Source organism: Homo sapiens, chromosome 19 (genome assembly GCF_000001405.40).
Source record: "Homo sapiens chromosome 19, GRCh38.p14 Primary Assembly".
In the NCBI taxonomy this organism is placed as follows: domain Eukaryota; kingdom Metazoa; phylum Chordata; class Mammalia; order Primates; family Hominidae; genus Homo; species Homo sapiens.
Window position 1 is genome coordinate 19,322,431 of NC_000019.10, and position 12,910 is coordinate 19,335,340.

Genomic DNA, 12,910 nt, shown 5'->3' on the forward strand with positions numbered 1-12,910 from the left:
TCTACAAAAAATACAAAAACTAGCTGGGCGTACTGACGCGGGCCTGTAGTCCCATCTACTCCAGAGGCTGAGGTGGGAGGATCAGCTAAGCCCCGGGAGGTCGTGGCTGCAGTGAGCAGTGATCACGCCACTTCACTCCAGCCTTGGTGACAGTGAAACCCTGTCTCAGAAAAAAAAGATAATAAGGAAAAAATAATAAAATTTCAGGCTGTGGAGTCGTTTTTTTCTCACAGCAGCGCTGTGATCCTGTCAGACCCCTGCCTCCCTTTTACCTTTTACCCAGCTCTGTCCTGCTTGAATAGAAAATTATTGAAAAGAATCAACTCAGATTTTAAAAACTCATTAATCTGAGGTAAATCCAAGCCCACCCTCAGCTAGTAACAACTTGCCTTGAGGAATAGATCAAATCTTTGTTTCACAGACTGAAAAGTTGGAAGGAGACTTTATTTTATTTTATTTTATTTATTTGTTTATTTTGAGACGGAGTTTCGCTCTTGTTGCCGGGGCTGTAGCGCAATGGCAGGATCTCAGCCCACTGCAACCTCCGTCTCCCGGGTTCAAGTGATTCTCCTGCCTCAGCCTCCCGAGTAGCTGGGACTACAGGTGTGCGCCACCACACCCAGCTAATTTTTGTATTTTTAGTAGAGACGGGTTCACAGTATTGGCCAGGCTGGTCTTGAACTCCTGACCTTGTGATCCACTCCCCTCGGCCTCCCAAAGTGCTGAGATTACAGGCATGAGCCACTGCGCCCAGCCCCAGATAATTTTTTTTCTTTTTTTTTTGAGACAGATTCTCGCTTTGTCACCAGGCTGGAGTGCAGTGGCGCGGTCTTGGCTCACTGCAACTTCCGTCTCGTGGGTTCAAGCAATTCTCTTGCCTCAGCCTCCCGAGTAGCTGGGATTACAGGCTTGCACCACATCATCTGGCTAATTTTTGTATTTTTAGTAGAGACAGAGTTTCACCATTTGGTCAGGCTGGTTTCGAACTCCTGACCTCAAGTGATCCGCCCATCTTGTCCTCCCAAAGTGCTAGGATTATAGGTGTGAGTCACCACATCTGGCCAGTTTTATTTATTTATTTATTTATTTATTTTGAGACAGGGTCTCGCTCCATCACCCCGGCTGGGGTGCACTGGCGTGATCTCAGCTCACTGCAGCCTTGACCTCCTGGGCTCAAGCAGTCCTCCCATCTCAGCCTCCTGAGTAGTTGGGACCACAGGTACGCACCACCACACCCAGCTAATTTTTGTGTTTTTTGTAAAGACAAGGGCTTGAACTCCTGAGCTCAAGCCATCCACCTGCCTCAGCCTCCCAAAGTGCTGGAACTACAGGCTTGAGCCATTGTGCCCAGCGTGGAAGGCAACTTTAGTCCTCACTTGATCAACTGCCTTGTTTCAAAAGGGAGGCATTATGGGCCCAGAGAGGTAAAGTGATTTGCCCAAGGCTGCACAACAAGTTATTGACAAAACTAGGCTCAAACTCCAGCTCAGTGATAACCAGGTTACATGCCAAGATGATACATCATTATTGTTTTGGTGAAGTTTTTTTTCCTTTGATTCATTCAACAGATACTTGTTCAGCTCATGCAGGATGCCAAGCCCTATTTTTGGTGCCGGGGGATCAGCAATGGCTAAAACAGTTTCTGCCCACGTAAGCCTAGGTTTTCATGAGGAAGACAAATGATAAGCATATAGTAAGAGGTTAGGCAGTGATGGAAGAACCTTGAGAACTGAACCAGGGAGAAGAGATGGAGTTGACTTGGAGCTATTTTTGGCAGAGGTAGTGAGAGAGTCTCTATTTGTGGGAGTGACATTTGAGCAGAGGCCTGAATGGGTGGGGCAGGGAGCCTGGAGAACCACTCGGGGGGTCAGGTTGATGGCAAGGAGTGCCTAAGCTGTCGGGGACTGGCAGATGGTATCAGGGTCTCTCCAGGGTCATGATGAGGCTGAGATCAAATGAGGCACCAGACTTTATTGACTGGGAGGGGTCTGGTGGCCCAGCATCTCCAGTGGATGTGCTGGTTCTAAAACTCTCCTTTCTCTCCATGAACAACTCCCACCACCTGCCTTCCCTTGTCTCCCAGGGCTGTTCAGCCTGTTTCTGGCAGTGGCTAATAGTCACTGTGTGTACTGTCGTATTTTGCCCACTCAGCCCTGTCTAGGAGAAGCAGTCATGCTGCAAATTGCTCGCTTTACCACTTGGCTTTTGGACCCATAATTTAAACCCTTCTCCTTGCGAAGTGCCTTTGCTCTGTCAAATGGAACTTTGAATCTTGAAGGGTCTTCCACTGAGCCACATGGTGCCCTCTGTAGCTCACGCCAACTTTATGCCTGGAAATCCCGTTCTTTTTGTCAGTCGCATCCCAACTGAAAATTTTTCCAGCTTTTAGTTAAAGTAATGTTTTCTATACTGTTTTCCTTCCACCAACGTTTGTGAATTTTTTTTGTGTTACAACATAAGCATGCTTTCTTTCATCTTCATTCTTTATTAATTGTGCATTTTTTCCCAATCAGGGAGCTATCAACTTTTATTCTTTCCTTCCCCAGAGCTACTTAATAAAGAATCGTATGTTCTCCGCTTAGAGGTGGTTTGCTGGTTTCTACTTCTGAAAAGCAAATGGCTGAAGAGATTCCAGTGTCTTCTTGGAGAGCCAACCCAGTGTAACAGTATTTTGCAATAGTTTGTGACATTTCTCCTTGCTCATTCTCTCTGCTGTTCTTTTTATTTTTATTGTTACTTTTATTTTATTTATTTATTTTTTGAGATGTAGTCTTGCTCTGTCACCCAGGCTCTGGAGTGCAATGGCGCAATCTTGGCTCACTGCAACCTCTGCCTCCCGGGTTCAAGCGAGTCTCCTGCCTCAGCCTCCCAAGCAGCTGGGATTACAGGCGCCCACCACCACGCCCAGCTAATTTTTGTATTTTTAGTAAAGAAGGGGTTTCACCACGTTGGTCAGGCTGGCCTTGAACTCCTGACGTCAGGTGATCCACCCGCCTTGGCCTCCCAAAGTGCTGGGATTACAGGTGTGAGCCACCACACCCAGCCTATTTTATTTTTCATTTTTTTGAGAAGGAGTTTCACTCCTATTACCCAGGCTGGAGTGCAGTGGTGCGATTTCAGCTCACTGCATACTCCACCTCCCGGGTTCAAACGATTCTCCTACCACAACCTCCTGAGTAGCTAGGATTACAGGCATGTGCCACCATGCCCAGCTAATTTTGTATTTTTAGTAGAAACAAGGTTTCATCATGTTAGTCAAGCTGGTCTCGAACTCCTGACCTCAGGTGATCTGCCCGCCTCAGCCTCCCAAAATGCCGGGATTACAGGCATGCCACCACACCCGGCATCTCTCTGCTCTTCTTCACTGAACTAATTTTCTCTAACATAAGTGCTTAGGTAAAACCTATTATTGGCCCCTGAACTCAGTGCTACATCCAGCTTTCCTATTGTTTTCACTGTCTTTTGCTTTCTCTCTAAGAGACCCCAGCCTCCTTGGTCATCACATTTTTATTTAAGGTTATTTCTCTTTTATCTGCTTCTGTCAGTTTCTAATGGTCTCCTCAACTGCATTTTTTTTTTTTTTTTTTTGAGACAGAGTCTCACTTTGTTGCCCAGGCTGGAGTGCAATGGCGCAATCTCAAATCATTGTAACCTCCGCCCTCCGGGTTCAAGCGATCCTCCCACCTCAGCCTCCTGAGTAGCTGGGATTATAGGTGTGTGTCACCATGCCTGGCCCTCAACTGCATTTTAAGTCGTCTAGAAAGATATATAACATACTTACTCGTCTACTTCATCAAGTCAACTAACTTTGAAAGAATCATCCATTAAATGTCCCCATCAGGCCAGGTGTGGTGGCTCACACCTGCAATCCCAAGACTTTGTGAGGCCAAAGTGGGCAGATTGCTTAAGCCCAGGAGTTCAAGACCGGCCTTGGCAACATAGCAAAACCCTGTCTCTACCAGAAAAAAAAATATAGCCGGGCGCGGTGGCTCACGCCTGTAATCCCAGCACTTTGGGAGGCCAAGGTGGGCGGATCACGAGGTCAGGAGATCGAGACCATCCTGGCTAACAAGGTGAAACCCTGTCTCTACTAAAAAATACAAAAATTAGCCAGGCGTGGTGGCGGGCGCCTGTAGTCCCAGCTACTCGGGAGGCTGAGGCAGGAGAATGGCGTGAACCCGGGCGGCGGAGCTTGCAGTGAGCTGAGATCGCGCCACTGCACTCCAGACTGGGCGAAAGAGCGAGACTGTCTCAAAAAAAAATATATATATGTATATATATATATATATACATATATATATATATACACAAAAATTAACCAGGCATGGTGGCACATGACTCTGGTCCCAGCTACTCAGGAGGCTAAGGCAAGACAATTCTTGAGCCAGGAAGTTGAGGCTACAGTGAGCTGTGATCGTGCCACTGCACTCCACCCTGGACAACAGACCGAGACCCTGTCTCAAAACTTTAAAAAAAGAATCCCCATCAGAGTCAAAGAGGGTATGTCTTCCTTTCCTCAGCAACTTTTTAAAAATTTGATTGTATTTATTTTTATATTTTCTATAGAGCTAGGGTCTAACTGTGTTGCCCAGGCTGGTCTTAAACTCCGGGCCTCAAGCAATCACCTGCCTTGGCCTCTCAAAGTGCTGGGATTACAGGTGTGAGCCACCACACACAGCCTCCCCAGGAGCTTTTTTTTTTTTTTTTTTTAGATGGACTCTCACTCTGTTGCCCAGGCTGGAGTGCAGTGGCGCAATCTCAGCTCATTAAAACCTCTGCCTCTCAGGTTCAGACTATTCTCCTGCCTCAGCCTCCCAAGCAGCTGGGATTACAGGTGCCTGCCACCATGCCAGGCTAATTTTTTCTACTTGTATTTATTTATTTATTTATTTATTTATTTATTTATTTATTTTGAGACAGAGTCTCGCTCTGTCGCCCAGGCTGGAGTGCAATGGCGCGATCTCGGCTCACTGCAAGCTCCGCCTCCTGGGTTCATGCCATTCTCCTGCCTCAGCCTCCTGAGTAGCTGGAACTACAGGCGCCTGCCACCACGCCCGGCTAATTTTTTATATTTTTAGTAGAGACGGGGTTTCACCGTGTTAGCCAGGATGGTCTTGATCTCCTGACCTCATGATCCACCCGCCTCGACCTGCCAAAGTGCTGGGATTACAGGCGTGAGCCACTGCGCCCGGCCTCTACTTTTATTAGAGATGGGGTTTCACTATGTTGGCCACACTGGTCTCGAACTCCTCAGCAGCTTTTTTGGGGTCACAGTAGTTGGTGTCTCGGTGACTCTTGCCTCTGTAGGGCCTCAGAACACCTGCCGGCCGCCTTGTTCCCTGGGTCTGCTCAGCAGATTCTGGAGCTGTTACAGTGCATGGCAGGACACTTTACCTGAAAGCCTTCCTTCTCTGAGTATGGTTTTGGCAGTGATGTGGGTGTGTTTTGGCTGCTCTGGGACTCCCCTAAGTAAATAGTTGATGACTATAAGCATTGTCACTTTACTTAGACATTTCTTGGCTAGAGAATTCGCAGTGACCAACCTGGGCACTACCCTGTCTCTACAAAAAATTTGAAAATTAGCGGGCCCGTGGTGGCTCACATCTGTAGTCCTAGCTACTTGGGAAGCTGAGGCGTGAGGATCACTTGAGCCCAGGAGGTCGAGGCATCAGTGAGCCGTGTTCCTGCCACTGCAGTCCAATCTGGGTGACAGAGAGAGACCCTGTCTCAAAAAAAAAAAAAAAAAAATTTTGCAATGCCATTTCTGCAGATTCTGACAGGTTGTGTTCTTCTATATTTTGCTTTCCTCTTGTTCTCTCTCTTCTTGCTGTACACCCATCCCTGTAAGTTTTCATTCTTCTCCTCTCTTCCAGGCCCTATGGCTTTTTTCTTATTTTCCCACCTGTCTTTTAAGCAGACAGATCCATCTTGGTCATTTGGACATCTGCTGTTGAATCAAGAGAATGTACCTGCATATCCGTTTCCCCCTTAACTTTTTTTTTTTTTTTTGAGACAGAGTCTCACTCTGTTGCCCAGGTTGGAGTGCAGTGGCGTGATCTCGGCTCCCTGCAAGCTCCGTCTCCCGGGTTCATGCCATTCTCCTGCCTCAGCCTCCCAAGTAGCTGGGACTGCAGGCGCCCACCACCATGCCCGGCTAATTTTTTGTAATTTTAGTAGAGACGGGGTTTCACCATGTTAGCCAGGATGGTTTCGATCTCCTGACCTCGTAATCCGCCCGCCTCAGCCTCCCAAAGTGCTGGGATTACAGGCGTGAGCCACCGCGCCCAGCCACCCCTTTAACTTTCTTACTTCTGATCACAGTCCCTTTTATCCCTTGGCCTGGGAAGTGCACCATCATTCTTAGGTTTTCCTGGTTTGAAAGCCACCCAGGACTAAATGCCGCCTCTCTGGAAGAACTTACTATTTTCTATAATCCAGGCAGTCATTCTTTGAACAGTGGTGTTTTCTGACTGCGTATGCCATGCTTGCTTTCTCTGTGTCAATGCCATGCGTGCTTTCTCTGTGGTTGGAACAGGGCTGCTTTTTAATGGTGGTTTTGCTCATCTGACTTAGAAAGCAGCTCCAGACTGTGCTGGTCAGATACTTAATTCTGCATCCAGGTTTAGCCTGAGCATCTATGGTTCACTTTCTCAGCAAGTGATTAAATGCTTCCTTTTCTCTTAAGACCCAACAGGGCTAGGTTCTGAGCCTCTCCTCATCAGGCCCAGCGTAAGCAGTTCTTTCATTCTTCAGGATCACAACTGTGTCCTGCTAAATTCCGTGTCCCATCTGCAGGGAGCAGAGACTTGTGCAGAGCTGGCCGTTACGCAGTTTCATGAAGTGATCTGTGCTTCCTCCTGTTTTTGTTTCTATTTCCTTCCCTCTCACTCTTGAGTCACCTCTGACTTCAGGATGTGAAATCTGTTTAGGAACCATCACCTCACGGTTCTACCAGCTGGTCCCTTCCTCTCCCACCCCGGTTCTTCTACTTCCTGATTGCCAGTTACTATAGCATCATTGGCACCTACTACATGCCAGGCCCTGCATTGGTGCTTCACAGAGCAAGGTCTCCCTGGATCCTCAACAAATTAACAGGGTAAGGCCCACCTCAGACTCACCTGTGATGACACCCAGCCACTGCAGGAGAATGTGCTTAGCCACAGTCACACAGCAGCAAGAGGCCAGGGAAGCTGCTAAATGCTGTGCTTCCATCCCAGAGGTGTTGCAAGCAATAGGGTAGTTTAAAAAAAAAATGATTTTGAGCCAGGCATGGTGGCTCATGCCTGTTATCCTAGCACTTTGGGAGGCTAAGGCGGGAGGAGTTTGAGACCAGCCTGGGCAACATAGCCAGACCCTGTCTCTTAAAAAAAAAAAAAAATTGAAAAATTAGCCACACATGCCTATAGTCCCAGCTACTTGGGAGGCTGAAGTAGGAGGAGTGCTTGAGCCTGAGAATTCAAGGTTACAGTGAGCCATGATTGCACCACTGCATTCCGGCCTGGGTGACAAAAACCCTGTCTTTTTAATTATTTATTTATTTATTTATTTATTTATTTTTTATTTTTTTGAGATAAAGTCTCACTCTGTCACCCAGGCTGGAGTGCAGTGGCGCAATCTTAGCTCCCTGCCACTTCTGCCTCCTGGGCTCATGTGGTTCTTTTGCCTCAGCTTCCAGAGTAGCTGATGTGACAGGCACACACCACCATGCCCAGCTAATTTTTGTATATTTTGTAGAGATGGGGTTTTGCCATGTTGCCCAGGTTGGTCTCAAACTCCTGAGCTCAAGCAGTCCACCTGTCTTGGCCTCCCAAAGTGCCAGGATTACAGGCGTGAGCCATTGCTCCCAGCCAACCCTGTCTCTTATAAAAACAAAACAACAACAGGCCAGGCATGGTGGCTCACGCCTGTAATCCCGGCACTTTGGGAGGCTGAGGTGGTAGTATCTCCTGAGCCCAGGAGTTTGAGACCAGCCTGGGCAAGATAGCGAGACCCCCATCTCTACAAAAAAGTAAAACAATTAGTTGGGCCTGCCAGGCGCCATGGCTCACGCCTGTAATCCCAGCACTTTGGGAGGCCAAGGCGGGTGCATCACCTGAGGTCAGGAGTTCGAGACCTGCCTGACCAACATAGAGAAACCCCGTCTCTACTGAAAATACAAAATTAGCCAGGCGTGATGGCGCATGCCTGTAATCCCAGCTACTCGGGAGGCTGAGGCAGGAGAATCGCTTGAACCCGGGAGCCGGAGGGTGCCATGAGCCAAGATCACACCATTGCACTCCAGCCTGGGCAGCAAGAGCGAAAATTCATCTCAAAAAACAAAATTAGTAGGACCTGGTGAGATGCACCTGTAGTCCCAGCTACTTGGGAGACCGAGCCAGGAGGATCTCTTGAGCCCAGGAGTTTGAGGTTACAGTGAGGACCACTGCACTCCCCCTGGGTGGCAGAGGGATACCATGTCTAAAAACTACAATCAAAAAAAGCCTTTTTTTTAAAAGTTACTTTGGTTTTAAGGAATAAGAAGCCTTGAAACACTCAGCCCTGGACTGAATCCTCCAGGCACCAGAGCTGTGCTGGTCTGGACCCTTCCACCCCACTTGAAACCTGTTGGCCCTGTTGCAACCCTCTCTTGCTTTCCCTGAGAACCCTAAGGTGACCCCAGGGGCTGCTGATGGAGACAGTCACCTCCTTGCCCTGCTCCCTGCAGCCTCTCACTTTGGCTGCTTTGCTATCATAAGGAAGGAAACATAAAAGCTACTTTTTAGCATTACAAAGTTAAAAAAAAAAAACACCCGGGCACGGTGGCTCACACCTGTAATCCCAGCACTTTGGGAGGCCGAGGCAGGCAGATAACAAGGTCAGGAGACCGAGACCGTCCTGGCTAACATGGTGAAACCCGATTTCTACTGAAAATACAAAGAAAAATTAGCCAGGCGTGGTGGCGGGCGCCTGTAGTCCCAGCTACTCAGGAGGCTGAGGCAGGAGAATGGCGTGAACCTGGGAGGTGGAGCTTGCAGTGAGCTGAGATCGCGCCACTGCACTCCAGCCTGGGCGACAGAGTGCAACTCCGTCTCAAAAAAAAAAAAATCACGTAGATGAGGTAGCAACCTTGGGTAAGGCATTCTACATCCTTTATTTGTGAGATGGATATATTTTTCTGATTTCCAAATATATGCTACAAGTCATACAGAGGGCTGGGTGAGGTGGCTCACAACTGCAATCCCAGTACTTTGGAAGGCTGAAATGGGACGATCACCTGAGCCCAGGAGTTCAAGACCAGCCTGTGCAGCATAGCAAGACCTTCCCTGTCTCTACAAAAAAAAAAGAAAAACAAAACTCTAACAAAGATACAAAAGTGAAGTCATTTAGTAGGTGTCAGATTGATGGCCCTGGGGAATTGACTGGCTCACCCTGACACCAGGCCCATACTGCCCTTCAGGAATGTGTGTCCTCATGCAGAGAGATCCAGGTGTCACTGATGTCCCAGTGAAGAAGCAGTGGCATTTAAAGACAGGGAGAAATCCCATGCCATTTAGGGCTTTGTGTCTGAAAGGCATACGCCTCCGTTCTGTGGCCATTTGCACTTACACAGAAGCCCTCACTTTCCTCTAATGAACTCTACTCATTATCCAAGTGGATAAAGCCATCGTTCGATCAGCAGATGTTTCCCGAGCACCTACTGGATGTCAGCTTGCTGCAGGCATTGCAGCCACAACTTTAAAGTCAAACATCATGGGGCTTTTTTTTGTAAGAGTCAGGGTCTTGCCCTGTTGCCCAGGCTGGAGTGCAACAGCACAATCATAGCTCACTGCAGCCCCAAACTCCTGGGCTCAAGTGATCCTCCCACGTCAGCCTCCCAAGTAACTGGCATTACAGCATGCACCACCATGCCTGGCTGATTTTTTTTTTTTTTTTTTTTTTTTAGAGCGAGAGACAGGGTCTCGCTGTGTTGCCCAGGCCGGTCACAAAAAGAGGGGCTTTATCTAATGTCCTCTGTTTGTATGTATTTGAAGTGGGCGATAAAGCTACATGGGAAACGGATGTTAAAAAGCGCTAGGATGTAATTTCTCCAGTGCCTTAGAGCATCGCTAACTCACAGTGGATCCACACCTTGAACCCAATCCTCTGGCTCCCAGTCAGCGCTCCTGACACCCACTGACGCTAGTGGACGCCTTCCACAAGAGAATGCTTGTATTTGGAGCCTTTGGGCACATTACTTCCCAGCTCACCAGTGCTCACTGAGAGCCTCCCCTTCCTCAGGGGAGATGGGATCCTCTCTGTCTAGCCCACCCGTGGACGGACGGAGCTGGCAGAGAGGCGAGCCCGTTAGCAGCAGGCATATCTGGCTTGTAAAGAAGAGATGTCTTGGCCAGCCGCTGCGGCTCACGCCTGTAATCCCAGCACTTCGGGAGGCTAAGGCGAGCAGATCACCTGAGGTCAGGAGTTTGAGACCAGCCTGACCAACGTAGAGAAACCCCATCTCTACTGAAAATACAAAAATTAGCCAGGCATGGTGGCGCATGCCTGTAATCCCAGCTACTTGGGAGGCTGAGGCAGGAGAATCACTTGAACCTGGGAAGCGGAGGTTGCGGTGAGCTGAGATTATCCCATTGCACTCCAGCCTGGGCAACAAGAGCGAAACTCCATCTCAAAAAAAAAAAAGAAGAGATGTCCATGGGGTCAGGAGAAATGAGGTCCAGTCCAACTGTGTGCTGAATAGATTGATGTTAGCCACATCATGGCCCCAAATGGAGAAGGGACACAAAGCTGTTGCTGGCCAAGCACGATGTCCAACGCCTGTAATCCCAGCACCTTTGAAGCCCAAGACAGGAGAATCACTCAAGCCTAGGAACTCGAGACCAGTCTGGGCGGCGTAGCCAGACCCCATCTCTACAAAAAATAAAAAAAATTAGCCAGACGTGGTGGTTCGCACCAGTAGTCCCGGCTACTCAGGAGGCTGAGGTGGGAGGATCACTTCAGCCCAGGAGGTCAAGGCTGCAGTGAGCTCTGATTGTACTGCTGCACTCCAGCCTGGACAACACAGTGAGACTGTGTCTCAAAAAAAAGGAAAAGCTGTTGCTATGAGGAGACATTGTTGGACCCACATGGGCCTGAGCTCGGTGGCATAGGCCAAAGCTTTGTAGAAGGGGGTGTAGTATTCTGAGGCATGAAGTGACTGGACATGTCCTTTTGAAGTCTACCCGCCACAGACATGCACGTGTGGGCTGTCGTCAGCTCTGGGGAGAGCATCCCATGGCCACAGACTGGAAAGGAAAGCTTCTCCGCCCAAAGGGAGGAGGGGGAATTCACGTGTTGACTGGTCGCCTTGCTTACCTCTGCTGGGATGCAGTGACAGAAATGGGGCCAGCTTTGTCACAGGTGCCAGGCTTAGCTGCAGGTGCCAGGTTTGCACCTTGCTCACCCAGGCTGGGGCTGCTGCTTGTGTGTGGCAGTGCTGTCTACCCTGGACTGTGTCTGAAGAGCTCCCCCTTGCCAGCCCCATGGTGCCCAAATCAGAACCACCAAATCTCAGGGTTCAGGGAGACCTCAGCCCAGCTCTAGTACGGCTCCTCTGTCACAGTCCCCTCTCTCCTGTGTGATTGGGCATCCCTTCCAGTTGGTGGCCTTCCAGAGCTTCTTGTGTTAGACCCGGCTTCTCAGTGGGATGCAGCAGCTTCTGTGGAAAAAAGCCCCCAACTTCTGCTCTTCTGTTGCATCACACACGTTGCCACTGTCCCCACACACAGCCTCTAGCTGAGGAGCCTCACCTCTGGGGCCACACTTCTGACGGCAGGTGCTGGCCCCGCCACTCTGAGGACCCCGAGCCCCTCCTGTCCGTGCCACAAGAGGGGACCACAGGAGGCAGACGCTTGGGCTGGCAGAGGGCCTGTGGTCTGGGCTCCTGCGTGTGGGTGCATGTGTGTCAGGGGCTCGGGCTCTCTCCCACAGCTGTCCTCCTGGCCCCCTGTGTCTTGGCAGTAGCTGCTCTCGATGCAGCTCTGTGCTTTCCCAGTGCCTGTGACATTCCCAGCTGCTGCTCACCCTTGCCCTAGAGATCTCCAGCCCCAAGGCTGCCCCCAGCCGTGGATCTCCAGGCCTCACTGGCTCCTCCGCACTCCCTTCGTGAATACTCTCTGCTGCATCCAGGATGGTCTGAAAACTCCCATCTGGGCAGGTGCTTTCATTTTCCACCCCTGACTGAGTCAGCTTCCAGGGGTGACACCAGGGCATTCTGACCCTCAGCTAGGAGTGGCCGCTGTTGCCGCATGAGTGGCAGAGACCATCGGGCTTCAGCCTCACCTCCCTGGCCCTCTGCCTTTTTTATGGGCTTTTCAGTGCCTGGAGCACCTCCTGCTCCCCCTTTTCCTGGAGAACTGGCCCCTCACTTCCCATACTTGCCACACATGCTGCCCTGCCCCATGCAGTCCTCCCACAGAGTGCGATGAGTTAGGGTCTCCTGCTGTGCTCCGGATCCACCTTCCAGCAACCACCGAGGCTCTTGTCAGGTGCAGGTTGCTCTGAATGTGTGTGGCACATGCGAGTCGCTGGGGACAGCGTTAGGCTTGTGTGCTTGGGACCCTGGGTGGTCTGATGGGCTGTGGTCAGTGGCCTGGACTAGCCTGGGAACTGTTGGAACATGGAACTTTAGGGCACAGTGGTCCCTGAGTTGGAGCCTGTTGTCTGAACTGCCTTCCTGGTGTGCATCTTCAGTGCCATCCCGCAGTTCTGCCTGTGTCAGCCCTTCCTGGAGCCCCCTCCCTCCCCTCTGAGAGACTGACTTTGCTTATAGCCAAGCATCTTTCAAATGCCTCTTGCTCAGAAGGACTAACCTTGCCCCCCAAGACCCATTCTCCAGTTGAAACTGATTTCTCGTGTTATGCTTTGCTGAACGTCCTTCCTCTCTGCCTGACCT

At 49.9% G+C, this 12,910-nt stretch overlaps 1 protein-coding gene across 6 annotated transcripts in view; it reads left to right on the forward strand.

Moving 5' to 3' along the window:
- Positions 1-12,910, forward strand: part of MAU2 (MAU2 sister chromatid cohesion factor) — a 37,926-nt gene that overhangs the window by 1,602 nt on the left and 23,414 nt on the right. The gene's annotated exons all lie outside the window — the stretch shown is intronic.